The 17,470-nt window shown below is 36.9% G+C and overlaps 1 protein-coding gene across 4 annotated transcripts in view, besides 1 other annotated feature; it reads left to right on the top strand.

Annotated features, from left to right (window-relative positions):
* LRRTM4 (leucine rich repeat transmembrane neuronal 4) overlaps window positions 1-17,470 on the top strand; it is a 774,692-nt gene that overhangs the window by 721,026 nt on the left and 36,196 nt on the right. The window lies entirely within an intron of this gene.
* Window positions 4,707-5,257: an enhancer, noted in NCBI's record as "OCT4-NANOG-H3K27ac-H3K4me1 hESC enhancer chr2:77023220-77023770 (GRCh37/hg19 assembly coordinates)". NCBI's record gives its function as "activates a minimal SCP1, AML or CMV promoter by ChIP-STARR-seq in primed H9 embryonic stem cells {active_cell/tissue: H9 hESC(primed)}" and the evidence as "EXISTENCE:reporter gene assay evidence [ECO:0000049][PMID:30033119]".

Raw genomic sequence — 17,470 nt, 5'->3', positions numbered from 1 at the left:
AACTCATCATTTTTTATGGCTGCATAGTATTCCATGGTGTATATGTGCCACATTTTCTTAATCCAGTCTATCATTGTTGGACATTTGGGTTGGTTCCAAGTCTTTGCTATTGTGAATAATGCTGCAATAAACATATGTGTGCATGTGTCTTTATAGCAGCAATGATTTATAGGCATTTGGGTATATACCCAGTAATGGGATGGCTGGGTCAAATGGTATTTCCAGTTCCAGATCCCTGAGGAATCGCCACACCGACTTCCACAATGGTCGAACTAGTTTACAGTCCCACCAACAGTGTAAAAGTGTTCCTATTTCTCCACATCCGCTCCAGCACCTGTTGTTTCCTGCCTTTTTAATGATTGCCATTCTAACTGGTGTGAGATGGTATCTCATTGTGGTTTTCATTTGCATTTCTCTGATGGCCAGTGATGATGAGCATTGATGGTATCTCATTGTGGTTTTCATTTGCATTTTCTGATGGCCAGTGATGATGAGCATTTTTTCATGTGTTTTTTGGCTGCATAAATGTCTTCTTTTGAGAAGTGTCTGTTCATGTCCTTCGCCCACTTTTTGATGGGGTTGTTTGTTTTTTTCTTGTAAATTTGTTTGAGTTCATTGTAGATTCTGGATATTAGCCCTTTGTCAGATGAGTAGGTTGTGAAAATTTTCTCCCATTTTGTAGGTTGCCTGTTCACTCTGATGGTAGTTTCTTTTGCTGTGCAGAAGCTCTTTAGTTTAATTAGATCCCATTTGTCAATTTTGGCTTTTGTTGCCATTGCTTTTGGTGTTTTAGACATGAAGTCCTTGCCCATGCCTATGTCCTAAATGGTAATGCCTAGGTTTTCTTCTAGGGTTTTTATGGTTTTAGGTCTAACGTTTAAGTCTTTAATCCATCTTGAATTGATTTTTGTATAAGGTGTAAGGAAGGGATCCAGTTTCAGCTTTCTACATATGGCTAGCCAGTTTTCCCAGCACCATTTATTAAATAGGGAATCCTTTCCCCATTGCTTGTTTTTCTCAGGTTTGTCAAAGATCAGATAGTTGTAGATATGCGGCACTATTTCTGAGGGCTCTGTTCTGTTCCATTGATCTATATCTCTGTTTTGGTACCAGTACCATGCTGTTTTGGTCACTGTCGCCTTGTAGTATAGTTTGAAGTCAGGGAGTGTGATGCCTCCAGCTTTGTTCTTTTGGCTTAGGATTGACTTGGCGATGCGGGCTCTTTTTTGGTTCCATATGAACTTTAAAGTAGTTTTTTCCAATTCTGTGAAGAAAGGCATTGGTAGCTTGAGGGGGATGGCATTGAATCTGTAAATTACCTTGGGCAGTATGACCATTTTCACGATATTGATTCTTCCTACCCACGAGCATGGAATGTTCTTCCATTTGTTTGTATCCTCTTTTATTTCCTTGAGCAGTGGTTTGTAGTTCTCCTTGAAGAGGTCCTTCTCATCCCTTGTAAGTTGGATTCCTAGGTATTTTATTCTCTTTGAAGCAATTGTGAATGGGAGTTCACTCATGATTTGGCTCTCTGTTTGTCTGTTGTTGGTGTATAAGAATGCTTGTGATTTTTGTACATTGATTTTGTATCCTGAGACTTTGCTGAAGTTGCTTATCAGCTTAAGGAGATTTTGGGCTGAGACAATGGGGTTTTCTAGATATACAATCATGTCATCCGCAAACAGGGACAATTTGACTTCCTCTTTTCCTAATTGAATACCCTTTATTTCCTTCTCCTGCCTAATTACCCTGGCCAGAACTTCCAACACTATGTTGAATAGGAGTGGTGAGAGAGGGCATCCCTGTCTTGTGCCAGTTTTCAAAGGGAATGCTTGCAGTTTTTGCCCATTCAGTATGATATTAGCTGTGGGTTTGTCATAGATAGCTCTTATTATTTTGAGATACGTCCCATCAATACCTAATTTATTGAGAGTTTTTAGCATGAAGGGTTGTTGAATTTTGTCAAAGGCCTTTTCTGCATCTATTGAGATAATCATGTGGTTTTTGTCTTTGGTTCTGGTTATATGCTGGATTACATTTATTGATTTGCGTATATTGAACCAGCCTTGCATCCCAGGGATGAAGCCCACTTGATCATGGTGGATAAGCTTTTTGATGTGCTGCTGGATTCGTTTTGCCAGTATTTTATTGAGGATTTTTGCATCAATGTTCATCAAGGATATTGGTCTAAATTTCTCTTTTTTGGTTGTGTCTCTGCCAGGCTTTGGTATCAGAATGATGCTGGCCTCATAAAATGAGTTAGGGAGGATTCCCTCTTTTTCTATTGATTGGAATAGTTTCAGAAGGAATGGTACCAGCTCCTCCTTATACCTCTGGTAGAATTCGGCTGTGAATCCATCTGGTCCTGGACTCTTTTTGGTTGGTAAGCTATTGATTATTGCCACAATTTCAGCTCCTGTTATTGGTCTATTCAGAGATTCAACTTCTTCCTGGTTTAGTCTTGGGAGAGTGCATGTGTCCACGAATGTATCCATTTCTTGTAGATTTTCTAGTTTATTTGCGTAGAGGTGTTTGTAGTATTCTCTGATGGTAGTTTGTATTTCTGTGGGATCGGTGGTGATATCCCCTTTATCATTTTTTATTGCATCTATTTGATTCTTCTCTCTTTTCTTCTTTATTAGTCTTGCTAGCGGTCTATCAATTTTGTTGATCCTTTCAAAAAACCAGCTCCTGGATTCATTAATTTTTTGAAGGGTTTTTTGTGTCTCTATTTCCTTCAGTTCTGCTGTGATTTTAGTTATTTCTTGCCTTCTGCTAGCTTTTGAATGTGTTTGCTCTTGCTTTTCTAGTTCTTTTAATTGTGATGTTAGGGTGTCAATTTTGGATCTTTCCTGCTTTCTCTTGTGGGCATTTAGTGCTATAAATTTCCCTCTACACACTGCTTTGAATGCGTCCCAGAGATTCTGGTATGTTGTGTCTTTGTTCTCGTTGGTTTCAAAGAACATCCTTATTTGTGCCTTCATTTCGTTATGTACCCAGTAGTCATTCAGGAGCAGGTTGTTCAGTTTCCATGTAGTTGAGTGGTTTTGAGTGAGATTCTTAATCCTGAGTTCTATTTTAATTGCACTGTGGTCTGAGAGATAGTTTGTTATAATCTCTGCTCTTTTACATTTTCTGAGGAGAGCTTTACTTCCAAGTATGTGGTCAATTTTGGAATAGGTGTGGTGCGGTGCTGAAAAAAATGTATATTGTGTTGATTTGGTGTGGAGAGTTCAGTAGATGTCTATTAGGTCTGCTTGCTGCAGAGCTGAGTTCAATTCCTGGGTATCCTTGTTGACTTTCTGTCTCATTGATCTGTCTAATGTTGACAGTGGGGTGTTAATGTGTGGGAGTCTAAGTCTCTTTGTAGGTCACTCAGGACTTGCTTTATGAATCTGGATGCTCCTGTATTGGGTGCATATATATTTAGGATAGTTAGCTCTTCTTGTTGAATTGATCCCTTTACCATCATGTAATGGCCTTCACTGTCTCTTTTGATCTTTGTTGGTTTAAAGTCTGTTTTATCAGAGACTAGGATTGCAACCCCTGCCTTTTTTTGTTTTCCATTGGCTTGGTAGATCTTCCCCCATCCTTTTATTTTGAGCCTATGTGTGTCTCTGCACGTGAGATGGGTTTCCTGAATACAGCACACTGATGGGTCTTGACTCTTTATCCAATTTGCCAGTCTGTGTCTTTTAATTGGAGCATTTAGTCCATTTACATTTAAAGTTAATATTGTTATGTGTGAATTTGATCCTGTCATTATGATGTTAGCTCGCTCTTTTGCTGGTTAGTTGATGCAGTTTCTTCCTAGTCTCGATGGTCTTTACATTTTGGCATGATTTTGCAGCAGCTGATACCGGTTGTTCCTTTCCATGTTTAGTGCTTTCTTCAGGAGCTCTTTTAGGGCAGGCCTGGTGGTGACAAAATCTCTCAGCATTTGCTTGTCTGTAAAGTATTTCATTTCTCATTCGCTTATGAAGCTTAGTTTGGCTGGATATGCAATTCTGGGTTGAAAATTCTTTTCTTTAAGAATGTTGAATATTGGCCCCCACTCTCTTCTGGCTTGTAGGGTTTCTGCTGAGAGATCCGCTGTTTGTCTGATGGGCTTCCCTTTGAGGGTAACCCGACCTTTCTCTCTGGCTGCCCTTAACATTTTTTCCTTCATTTCAACTTTGGTGAATCTGACAATTGTGTGTATTGGAGTAGCTCTTCTCGAGGAGTATCTTTGTGGCATTCTCTGTATTTCCTGAATCTGAACGTTGGCCTGCCTTGCTAGATTGGGGAAGTTCTCCTGGATAATATCCTGCAGAGTGTTTTCCAACTTGTTTGCATTCTCCCCATCACTTTCAGGTACTCCAATCAGATGTAGATTTGGTCTTTTCACATAGTCCCATATTTCTTGGAGGCTTTGCTCATTTCTTTTTATTCTTTTTTCTCTAAACTTCCCTTCTCGCTTCATTTCATCTTCCATTGCTGATACCCTTTCTTCCAGTTGATCGAATCAGCTCCTGAGGCGTCTGCCTTCTTCACTCAGCTTGTCAAAGTCATTCGTTCTGTTGATGGTGAGGAACTGCGTTCCTTTGGAGGAGGAGAGGTGCTCTGCTTTTCAGAGTTTCCAGTTTTTCTGTTCTGTTTTTTCCCTGTCTTTGTGGTTTTTATCTACTTTTGGTCTTTGATGATGGTGATGCACAGATGGGATTTTGGTGTGGATGTCCTTTCTGTTTGTTAGTTTTCCTTCTAACAGAGAGGACCCTCAGCTGCAGGTCTGTTGGAATACCCTGCCGTGTGAGGTGTCAGTGTGCCCGTGCTTGGGGGTGCCTCCCAGTTAGGGTGTTCTGGGGTCAGGGACCCACTTGAGGAGGCAGTCTGCCCATTCTCAGATCTCCAGCTGCATGCTGGGAGAACCACAGCTCTCTTCAAAGCTGTCAGACAGGGACATTTAAGTCTGCAGAGGTTACTGCTGTCTTTTTGTTTGTCTGTGCCCTGCCCCCAGAGGTGGAGCCTACAGAGGCAGGCAGGCCTCCTTGAGCTGTGGTGGGCTCCACCCAGTTGGAGCTTCCTGGCTGCTTTGTTTACCTAATCAAGCCTGTTCAATGGCGGGCACCCCTCCCCCAGCCTGGCTGCCGCCTTGCAGTTTGATCTCAGACTGCTGTGCTAGCAATCAGCGAGGCTCTGTGGGCGTAGGACCCTGCGAGCCATGTGCGGGATATAATCTTGTGGTGTGCCGTTTTTTTAAGCCTGTCTGAAAAGCGCAGTATTCGGGTGGGAGTGACCCGATTTTCCAGGTGCAGTACATCACCCCTTTCTTTGACTCAGAAAGGGAACTCCGTGACCCCTTGCGCTTCCCAAGTGAGGCAATGCCTCGCCCTGCTTCGGCTCGCACATGGTGCGCGCACCCACTGACCTGCGCCCACTGTCTGGCACTCCCAATGAGATGAACCCGGTACCTCAGATGGAAATGCAGAAATCACCCGTCTTCTGCGTCGCTCACGCTGGGAGCTGTAGACAGGAGCTGTTCCTATTTGGCCATCTTGGCTCCTCCCTTCACTTTTCTTTTCTGATAGTGCCCTGATCTGGCTTTGGTGTCAGGGTAATGTTGGCCTCATAAAATGAGTATCCAAAGGAAACGACATCAGTATGTAGAAGATATAGCTACATTCCCATCATGTTCATTGAAATGTTATTCATAATAGCCAAGAGATGGAGTCAACCTGTGTCCATCAATGGATGGATAAAGAAAATGTAGTGTGTGTGTATGTGTGTGTGTGCATATATATGCACATGTATATATGCATATACATGTATATGCATATGGTATATATGTAGTGCTCTCATATTTTAAATACTCACCAGATTATTAACACCTACACAATGTAAATTCTGTGTATATAGTCATTACAATGTTTTATTTAGGAAATAATGACAGTAAAAAATCTTTACATGTTCAGTATAGACTTTTTGTTAATTGTCTTATATAAAGTTGGTTAAATTCATGGATATAGAACTCACAGACATGAAAGATGAACTACATATATATTTCAAAACAAGATATTGTACACAATAAGTATATGAAATTTGTATTTGTCAATTAAAAATGATTTTTAAAGTACAAAACACACTTTTCATTAATTTAATTTCTTTGGTTATTTGTGGATTCGGGCACCTTTTTCTATGTTTGCTGATCATTGCCTATTCATATATTTTGTCCACTTTAATATTATTGTTAGTAAATCTCTCGGTATTGAGCATGTCATATCTGCCGTCTATGTTAAAGGTATTTTTACTTTAGCTTACTATCTGCCATACAGAAGTATCTTTATTTGCATAAAATCTGGTAATATTTTTCTTTATAGCTTTTAGTGAAGTTACAGCCACCCTTAGATTAAGATATTCTTCTATCAGTGTCTACACACTATTGTTTAAATTTAGCATTTAAATCTTAATTTTTCTACAACTGTGGTTCTTAATCAGAAAAATGTTGGCCCTCTAGAGGGACCTATGGCAATAAGTAGGGTCAGTTTCATTGTCTGACTTGGGGGATTGATGCTACTGGCTCTGGTGGGTACAGTTTGTGATGGTGCTACACATCCCACAAAAGTACAAGACAGTACACCATAGCAAAGAATTAGCCAGTGAAAAATGTCACTAATGTCAAGTTTGAAAAACCCTGCTCTGGAATAAGAAGAAAATAAACAAAAAAATGTAAATACTAGGAAAACAGATAAAATTATTGCTTTTTGAAAATGGTATAGGTGCCTGGTTAGTAAAATCAATAAAAAGCATATAGAATTAATAAAGCAATTCAATTAAGTCTAGATAGAATATAGAAGAGGTGCAAATGTTTGCCTATACCAGTAATAAGTGAAATTTTGAAAGAAAGAAAAAACTATTGTTCACAACTATAACAAAATAGCTGGAATATCTGGTAAAGCCGATTAGTCATATAGCAGTATTTAGGGACTGTAGTGGTATACCCAATCCTTTGTTTTTCCTAAGGTTCACTTTCTTTCCTCTCTGACACATAACTTCCTTTCATACTAATGCAGATATTTGTTATCTCCGATCTAAGGACACAGCTCCTTCTCTCTTCTGAGTATAAGAAACAATCAGGTAATCTAACAAGGTCTGATTCAATAAGCTATAAGCTTACATAGTAATCTCTGGTTACTCTGAAGTAAACTCACCTCTGGCCTACATATGAACTGCTCATCAATCATTCCATAAAATCAAATCTTCGCTCCATGTGGGATGTGGCTCAGGAGACTGACAACCGCTTTTACAATTCTTAGTTCCTGGTTGGACTTCCCTAGCCCAGTTTTGGCTTATACAGATTACTATTAGAGACACACAGAAAAATATTCTCCAAAATGTAAGTGGGACATTGTTGCACCAGTATTTTGAAGTCTTAGAAATCTTTTCTGTGTCCCATAGAAGCAATTACTGTCCCACTAATACTGTATTCCCTAGATCATACGAATTGTATTTGTGACCTTCTTACAGGCTTACAGCAACACAGGTGTTTGTTTCTCAGAGGTCTGAGTTTTATCTGAAATCAGCACTTTGCCTCCTGGATCTCAATTCACTGTTTATAAGTTCATACTGGTGGGCAAAATGTGCCCAATTATGATGAAATGGAAGACACTTTGCAAAGGCTGGCAACCTGTGAATCACTGACTCTTCATCTACCATATCCTGTGTTCCCTCTTTTGCGCTTTTTCCTGGTAGCCCTCAAAACTTAACTTACCGAGAGCACAGTGAAGAGGAGAAAGTTCTACATTATTACCAGGGGGCTTCTCATATAAAAATACAATGTAGCTCTTTGATGCCTAGATATTGTCCACAAATAATTAATCAAAATCCTACTTATCTTAAAGTAGATAGAACAAAGTCAGTCTGAAAAAAAAATACTTGATTCTTTTGCTTTGGAAGTTGATAAACGATTTCAGTAATTGGCCAAAGAGTGAATATTTTAGGATTTGTGGCCAAGAAAATCTATGTCCCATCTACTCAACTCTGTCATTGAATAGCCAGAGGCATTTGTTTGCTAACCCATGACCCACACCCTTGGTATCTAAACACTCTGATACTGGGAAAGGTCAAGGAACAATGAACAATATTGACAACACCAAGAGATGAGTGTTTTCTGTAAAACCTAGAGTATAAATAGGTTACACTATTCACCTCATTCAAGGTACCCCTGGGTCTACTTGCCTAAAGACTTGAGGGAAAATATTAACCTGTAATTCCAAGTTCTATGTGACTTTCAGGAAGTTATTTAATACTGCTAAAGCCTTGATTTTTCTCACTGGCAAGTGTGTAATATTTTCAGAGTAGTAGTAGAAAAGAATCAGTGAAGACTTCCACTTTCCATCAAGACAAAGTAACAGAGACAGGATTCACCCTCCACCCCTAACAACCAAAAACCCAGGGAAAATATATGAAACGATGGTTTTCAGGACAGTGGACATTAAGCAATGCAAGAGTGATCTCGCTCCAGTTTACTGCTTTGAATGTGCTTCCAAGCCACAGTGCAGGAAGTAACCAGATACAAGCTAATTTTCTAAGTTGAGGAGAGAAGGAGTTGAAAGTCCTTAGCGCCTGGCATTTACAGGAAAAATGTACTGAAGTAGGGAGAGTGGCACAAAGAATTCTACAAGTCTATAAGAGGGTCTTCATCTAGTATTCAACAGAGAATTGATCATTAGCAGGAGCAACATTACTACCCATAAAGCAGCTTCTCTTGCATCACACACTTTATTCTCTGATTGTTACTAGAAGAATTAATATAACTTACCTTGTGCCATCAGTATATGATTGAATGTGATACACACACACGCCTTCCTAATATACTACAAACTCTTCAGGAATTGATGTATATCCTTCTATCTTTGGATTACCATAGTTCCCAGCAGAGTGTTTTGCATGAAAGATGTGTCAGGTAGATGATTCCTAGAGTGGAACATTAGCCTTCTATAACCACTTTCCTCCATTTTATTATATTCCTGGTCTCTGGGGGTTGGTATTTAACTTAATGTGTAAAGTGGCAGCCTATGACTTTCATCTTAAACAGTGAAGGTTTTTTTAATGGTTATTTTGTTGTTTTTAAGCCGACTTAACATTTTTTAAATTCTGAAACATAATTATACTACAGGTAAAGTATTGTACCAAAAGCCATGTATATGATCGTCTTTTCTTACTCTGTAAGCTCTCTTTTTTAGGACTAGAAAAACTCTATTTCTCTAACTATGGGCATTTATATTTTAAGTATTCTGCCTGCCTCCAGGTTTGCATGCTTAGATAAATAAGAGCTGACTTTCTTTCTGAAATGGAACAATATAATGGAGAAAACTGGAAAGTAATGAAATTTATGACCCAGATCTGATACAAAAACATGAGTGGGTGATAGGCTAAGCTAGTTAAGAATTTTTTGTCTGGTTTTTCATTTTGCTTTTCCTCAAAAATTCTCTGGGGTTTGAAAGTCTATTTCATATTGGAAACTAGCTTATTACAATGTTTTGACTTGATTTCCTGTGACAAATACTGTTGGCAAAATAAGTAAGTATACCTCTGAAACCTGCAGCCTATCTGCTGTATATCTGTAGAATGTAGTTCTACATGTCGATTCTGTCACCAGTTTGCACTGTGGCATTTCTCCATATGAGGTTATAATAAGTACTGAAATTGTCTTTAACTGGTTCTCACAGCTTAAGAAAGTTTTGTGTATAATTCTGAAGCATTTACTGTGTTTCCCCTTGTCCTGTAAATGGAGTAGGATGAGATTTATTGCTCTCCGAATATTTATGCTCAAGTAGAGGTGTGCCATTTCTTTCCTAAATACTCGAGTCCCTTGTCTTCCTTGTTGTTTCTCAGTATCTAAGTGAAGTTCTTGGATTTTTTCCTCTAAATTCTCTGATAAATCATCTCATAATTATGTATGAAACTTACATTCTAATTTTATAGTCAAAATGCCTTTCACTGAGTTTCAAATCTACAAATCTACATGGGAATGTTGGAGCAAGTGTCTTCAGATAAATGATGGTTCCCAATATTATTGAAATAATCTCAGTAGAGGATGGTAAGGTGCTCTGTGAAGCCTTTTCCACCTGTCTTTGAGTCACGTTAGGGTTTTGGCAAGCCACATGCCTGGATCACTTCCAGCTCTAATGCCCTGTGGTTCTATCATTTTCTGTCTTTAGTTTTCACTTAAGAAGAAGTAGCCTTATGTCACAGCAAGATTCAAGAGAATGTCCATTCTGGATCCTGTGAAGCCATCAAAGTAACAGCCAGTGTTATAGCCCCAGTAAATTACCTCTTTATCATTGTAACCATCATCCTAGCTTATCATGTAACTGGAAACATACCTTCTGTGGACCATGTTTTCCATGTTTAAAGTGAAATATGGAAACACATTCTTCCACTATAACAGCTTAGTATTCAGTGACTAATACAACCTGCTGTGGGATTCAGTCAGACAGCATCATTGCCTACATCATGTTTTCTAGTAGAGAAACATGCCAAGTCTGATATTAGATTGTTTCTATGGCAGAAACAGTGAAATTATATCAAATTTGATCAAAGAGTAGATTTACATCAACTGGAAGATACTGACATTTTGCCTGTTAAATTTCACTGAGGTGGTGGGGGGGGGTCTATCCAATTAAGTAACACTACAAGATACTGTTCCCCAAATTCAGATGCTCTAATGCTATCCACGAGAAATAGCAATGGGAATTATTTTATTAATAGCTAATGCTTATCAAGTGCTACTATGTGTCAAACACTATTAGGATTTTACATGTTTTTCTTATTTAAACCCCAAAGTACTTTCTGAAATAGTTTCCATTTTCCTCATTTTAAAGAGGAAGAAACTGAGGCTGGCCCAAGATCATACTGCTAGAAAGGTAAGAAGCTGAGATTCCAACCTAGGCAGTAGGAGTCCAGAGAGAATTAGTTCCTAATCAAGATCTTTCCAACTGAAAATTTAGAACTCCTAATATGTTTCTTTCTTTATTCAGAGGCAAAAAAAAATCCCTCAGAAATAGAGGCAATCCATGAAGATCCTGCACCATATCCCCATACCACCGTACTGACAAAGCAGAACCAATGACTGTCTCATTATTAGTTTGAACTTTAACTCATAGTCCTAGAACAGAAGTGTAGTGGACTAGGCTTAACCTTGTGGTATCCTCTTCATTAAGTCTGGGAAAAACTGCTTTGGTAATTCTAAAAGTAAACCAAAATCTCTGATGCTAGGAAAGATCTCAGACAGTGGTGAAAAGATGAAGGGAATCTAAGAGAAGGAATGAACAAGAGGGAACATTTATCCAATTCCCACAGTAGAACTGTCCTGTAACGACACACACCTCAGGCAACTCATCCAAACAAGCAACCCGTTGTCCTGGGGACTGCAAGACAGGACCAACCCATCTAAAAGTGAAATAGAAGGAGAGCTAGAGATAAAAAAGAAGAGTGCTGATAATTTCCCTAAAGTAAAAAAGACTCAGTTATCTCCCACCCAGGAAATATGGAAAAAATAATAAAATGGGAAGACACCATGCCTTTGTTCTCTGTGACTTCCATCTCTTTGAAACCTTTATCTAGAAGCTTGAAAACCTGGAATTTGGTTATTCCAGATTAACACTCCTCCCTCATGATACAGAGTCTTTCCATGATTGTGAAACAGACTCAAGAATAAATGGGGAGCGGGAACCATGGAGTAGGTTTGACCAGAAGAAATATGTTCACACTAAGTAAACAAACAAACAAATACAACCTATTATAAAAAGGTATGTGGCTGGTGCCACAGGACCTCAGAAACAAACCCTCATTATGTTTTTGAATTTTCCTCTTAATTCATGTATTTATCAAGCCAGAAGCCCTCCAAAGAAGTCCTGTCATACAACGCATGGTGTTCGAGTTACTCTTTGAAGTTGATTGTTTTGGGAAAAGAGAGAGGTCACTAGAGCAGAGGTGGGTGGTGAGGTCAAGAGGCTGCGAGGGACAGCAGTGGTATGGAACATGGAAGTGGAGAATTCTGAAGGTAAATATCACCTACTTGGCCATTTTTTCCTGTGTTCTCCCTGCTGTTTGTATTCCCTTTCATCACTGCCACTGCTAGCACATAAGGTGCCTTGGTGTGAAGAAAACAAAGCAGGCATCCTTTCCAGGTGGTGGCAACCCCACTTGAGAGTGCTCCCTTTGAGGTAGGGAGTGTGAGTGCAGCGTGGGCTGGAACTTAGCATCTCTAAAGTATAGGGTTCCTTTTTTTACTAAGAATCATTTTGTAATAGAAAAAGCACAGCATGCACAACCAGAGAAGCAGGGTGCCAAGCATTAGCTGTTTAACTCAGTGTAAGTTTTATGTCTCTAAGACTCAGCTTTCTCATCTGTACAATGTAGAAAATAAAACCTTTTTCCACCAGTGGTTAGGGAATTAAAGGAAACACTGCATCCAGAAATCATTTTGGAAACTATAAACCCCATAGACACAAAAACATTTATCATTATTATCACAGATTTTAATATAAAAACTTCTCTATGTTTGAGTCCTTAACTATAAAATAGTGTTACTACTTCCTCCCCCCTAAAAATTCACAGGGTCTTCTTTCTGAAATCACATTGATAGAATAGATATAAAAGGACACTGAACAAAGACACACAGTCCTACAAGATTGTGCTATTACTTTTCTCTCTTATGATTACCTTTAAAAAGTCACCATTAAATTTTGATCTAAGCTTAAACTTGCATTATAAACTTCCTTGCACTTATTCTGAAATTATCTCTCTTATTTTTCCTTGGCTATCATTAATCTCAGCCTCTGCTAAGTCTACACAGGTTAAATAGAGAGCATTACACTCTGTATCTTTGCTGACTTCCTAGTACGAGTAAACGTGACCTTGTGTTAAAGCTTATTTTTGTTCTGATTGAGTAAAAGAAAGCTTATTCACTCTCTGCCTTTGCCTTGATTCTGCTCATAATTTTACAATTTCTGATAATGGTTATTCAAGACGGATATCTAGGGCAAATAATGTGACTATGTGACTCCTTTTCTTGTCTAACTCTCAGATGTTGTCCCCTCTCAACCGCTAAGGCATAGTCAATTGCTGTTCTATTTATGTTTCTATTAGACCTTGTACTTACCTCAATTACATATGTTAACACATTCTACTGGAACTATTTATTTACTTGGTTCTCCTACTACAGACTGACCTTCTTCAGTTTAATCATGATTGTATCAGAGCACTAAGAATCAAGAATGCTGTCTCCTAACAACAATAGTAACAACAGTAACATTCATTCATCTTTTCCTACCAGAGAAGGTTCTAATTGTTTTTACATATATTAACTTTGTTAAATAAAATATTTCAAAGTAAAAAATCATTAATATCATACAGACATAAAGCAATTCATGTTAAAGATTTTACTTAATTCATAATGAGGGTGCCAGGCAGATATTCTAATTGGCTCAGAGAAGTCAAAGGAGCACAAATTTGCCTAAAGGACTGGTGAGATGAACTGACAGAAACTGGCTTTTTCCTTGGACAGAAAAGAAAATCAAGTGAACCTCTATCTGTCAGAATATCTATATTGTTTTTAGATAAGAATTTCTTTTCATAGTTGCAAAACAAGTCCCATGGGATAAGAATCAACCCGAATAAGTGTGCTGTAGTCAATGCAAAACTCCCCACTGAACCACAAAGTTTTCCCTATAATAATCCTCACAAAATAGAAAATATTTTTTCAATTTAACCAAAACACTAAAAAAAAAAAATTTTCCTAACTTCATAAAACTTCCTTTCTTTTTTCCTTTCCCTGTTTTTAACCTCCACTCTCCATTTTGAGCTGAACACCCAGTTATTAAATATTTTGTATTGACCTTAGTAGACAATGGGCTTACCATCTGATAATGTTGACATCTGGAAATGTATAAAGTATCAGAACACAATGTATGAGATTATGCAGAGCAGGCTCTATATATCAATAAAAAGAAAAGAGATGAAAATAATTATGACCAGGAAGTTGCCAGTAATAGCAGGCTATATATTTATAATGCAAATCCAAATCTCCTTATGCCAATTGTGCATTCTAAATTATTTCTGGAGTAATCTTTTCCCACACAATCAACATGTTTCCCAGATCATTTTTATTTTCCACATCCTTTCTCTTTTTTCCATTAGAGATGTATTTTCTAACAGATTACTCTTTCCTTTATGACATGAACACAGTCCTTTCATTTCCCTTGCCACATGTATTGTCTTTCTCCAGATATTAATAACAAAGTGGGAATTTTCCTTAGGGCATCCTTATGTACTTCCCTTAGATATCCCTCATGTTCCACAAGTCACCTGACCATTGCTGGAAATTGAAAAAAAAAATGTAGGTAAATTTTGTGCCTAACAAACAGCTTTTCATTGTGTTCAGCCAATCAGAGTGTCAAAAACTTGCTGACTTGGGGGCTTTATTTTTGATGCTATTATTAGCACAAAGAAAAGAAACAGCAAGGAAAGCAATATGAAATTCCAGTTCCTTCTGTATTCTTTAAATGAACTATTTTTGGTTTGTCAACCAAGAAAATGATGCATTTTTTTTTTCTGCAATCTTCTAACTTGTTGACACAATATAAACAAATTGAAAGGGAACCACTTAGAAAGCAGGAATCAAAGAAGTGGAGGAAGTTGTCTGAATGCATCTGTACCTCCCACAGATATTTTTAAAACCAAATTACCTCTCTGCTCTTAGCTTTGTTTTGGTTTTCTTCCTCTGTTTGTTAATGTAGGTAAAAGGTAGCAGAAAATTGAATCAGACAACTCCTTCAAAGAGCTTCATGGCATATATTATATTCATAATTCTTATTAATTCAATTATAACTACTGTTTTTTTAGAGTTCTATGACAATGAAAGAATTGCTATATAAGAACTGAAAAGATAAAAATACTGTTAAAAAAATGTTAGGAGTCTTGGGGGACCAATTTGCCTATTCATCATTTGTGGGTTTTTTATTTTTATTTTTTGCTTTGTTCTATCTGTTATAAATATTCTTAACCAATACAATCTCCGCCATTTTCAAACTTAAATTGATCAATTGGAAAATATTGCTGTAAGTGTGCCTTATTTTTAATCGTTCATGGTTCATTTGGGAAGATAGGCTAGAGACTTTCTTTATAAATTGCTCTATGAATGGAAAAGAATTTGTACTTCTTTTCCTATCAATTATGGCAAAGTTCCCAGATGAAGCTGAAGTTGAGGTGAGGGTTGAAAATGTGAAAATGTAGTTTGCCAAGATACTCATGTAACTTATGTCTTCTGAATTCACAAGCTATTAAAAAGATAGGAGCAGCTAGGTATCATTGAGTTAAATTGCATATTGTTCAGAAGTCCGTCAAGTGCAATTGATTACCTTTTGCTGCAGATATTTCTACCCATGGCTCATTTTGTTTGTGGTCGGCCTACACACAAGGCATTTTCTTCCTTGGGCAACTCTGCAGGTCTGGCTGATCCTTGTCTTTTAAAATACCCATCTTTATAAATAAAGCCAAGAACATGATGGCTTAAAGCCATGCTATAAGTTTAAATATGGATTGTTAAGCTTCTCATACATCAAAATCAATTTTATTTTCCACTAAATATTGGCAACATATTAATTATACAAATATGAGAAGGGTGAAAAAAGTCTTATTTTAATATCTTAACATATACTATCTAGCTACTTACCCTACTTATGGCCTTTTATGAAGAAAGCTATTACAAACATATGTTCAGGTTAAATTACTAGGAGAAAATCTAAACACTAGAAACACCTTCCAAGTTAAATTGAAGATCCTTCCTGGATTACCACTAAAAAGTTGATTAGAGACTGACGTACCCATATGATCTGCTTTTCTATCTCAACTAAAATTCACTCTCATTAAATGTGCCTTTACTGGAAGTGCTCCTGAGCTAGTTTAATAAATACATGTATAAGATTATAAAGTACACTGTTATAAGTTGATGCTCTATTTTGCTTAATCCTTCTTATTATTAATTTTATCAGATCTTGTTTCATGGGCTTTTACTTGAGGAGCAGAACTGTAGTCCCACATTTGAGAAAATTATTTTCTCAATACAAGTACTGCAAATCAGTTATTAAAGTCTTCATTCCTAAATTTTATGCAGACTATTCAATTGCAAATGCCAATACAAACACAATAGCAGCATTTTAAATTAATTGTTTGTACTTCCTTCTTCAAGATCGGTGTAGCAAGATATCTTTGGAGGACTCACATCTTAATAGTTTATTGCAGACTAGATTCAATGTTCATACAGTCATATTATAAGAGTGACAACTATAGAAAGTTTTCCATATGAAATTTGGATAAAATGAAAGTCCTAAATTGGTGTGATACATTCTGAAGTGCAATCTGCCACTCAGTTTATTGTGAATCTCTATTCGAACTGAATTAATTTTGTGTAAAATAACTGCTTCTATGATCAAAGCATTCACTACATGCTGGGCTGAACAGTTAGTTTCCTTTAAGGTATATTTAGTATTTCATTTTTGTGAAAACAAATAAATAAAAAACCATACAAAAAGAATTCAATCTTGACAACATTACTGGCCAGCACAGTTACGGTATTTTATAAAGGTGTTCAGATGTGTAAAAATGATATTAATAAGAACTTAGGAAGCTATTCATGCATGAAATAAAGAGAACATTACATTGATCATTTCAAAATCAGTGGTGCCCCATAGTAAATACAACTTAAGTGAAATTACATAGGATACTTTAGTTTGAAAATATTGCATTTATTTACTTTATGTGGGAAACAAAAGAGAAATCTAAGTATCAGCTTAATCTTATCACCCAGTGAGAAAAACACAGCATTCATATATCTATGTATAATATATCTATGTATATGTAGACATGTACTTGTGTGTGTTCAAATTATTTTAATGGTAGCATAGTAATTAGAGTCCATATGTATGCCTTTCTTATAGCAATCTTGCACCCATTTGACTATATATATGAACATTTTCTCATGATATTAAGCATGCTTTTCCATAATATTTTTCAAAGTATGCATAGGATTATAAAGCATCGCTTAATGTACTATGATTTATTTATCTGAATAATGTATTTAATAAAAGAAATTGGATTCTTTCTCAAAAACATTAATCTAGTGGTACCTATGCTTCCTTTTTGTGTGTGTAATACAATTACAGCCACCACTGAACATTAAAACAGATAAATATTAATATATCATGAATTTGGGGATTGTTTTAGCTCAAAATACAACATTTAAAAATAATTTTCCAAAAATAATTATTTATGTTTTCTCACTTTCACAATAAAACATAGAAAATTCAAGTAGCAACTCTGTTTAACATTCAAACATTTTCTTAACCCTCCAGTTCTACATTTTTACTAATGAATCATCTGGATATTACCAAGCAGTTTTATTATGAGTATTTTATACTGTCAAATCATA

The sequence above is a fragment of the Homo sapiens genome, chromosome 2 (assembly GCF_000001405.40).
Source record: "Homo sapiens chromosome 2, GRCh38.p14 Primary Assembly".
Taxonomy (NCBI): domain Eukaryota; kingdom Metazoa; phylum Chordata; class Mammalia; order Primates; family Hominidae; genus Homo; species Homo sapiens.
Note: the sequence above shows the minus strand (reverse complement) of the source record. Positions and strands in the feature narration are given on the sequence as shown.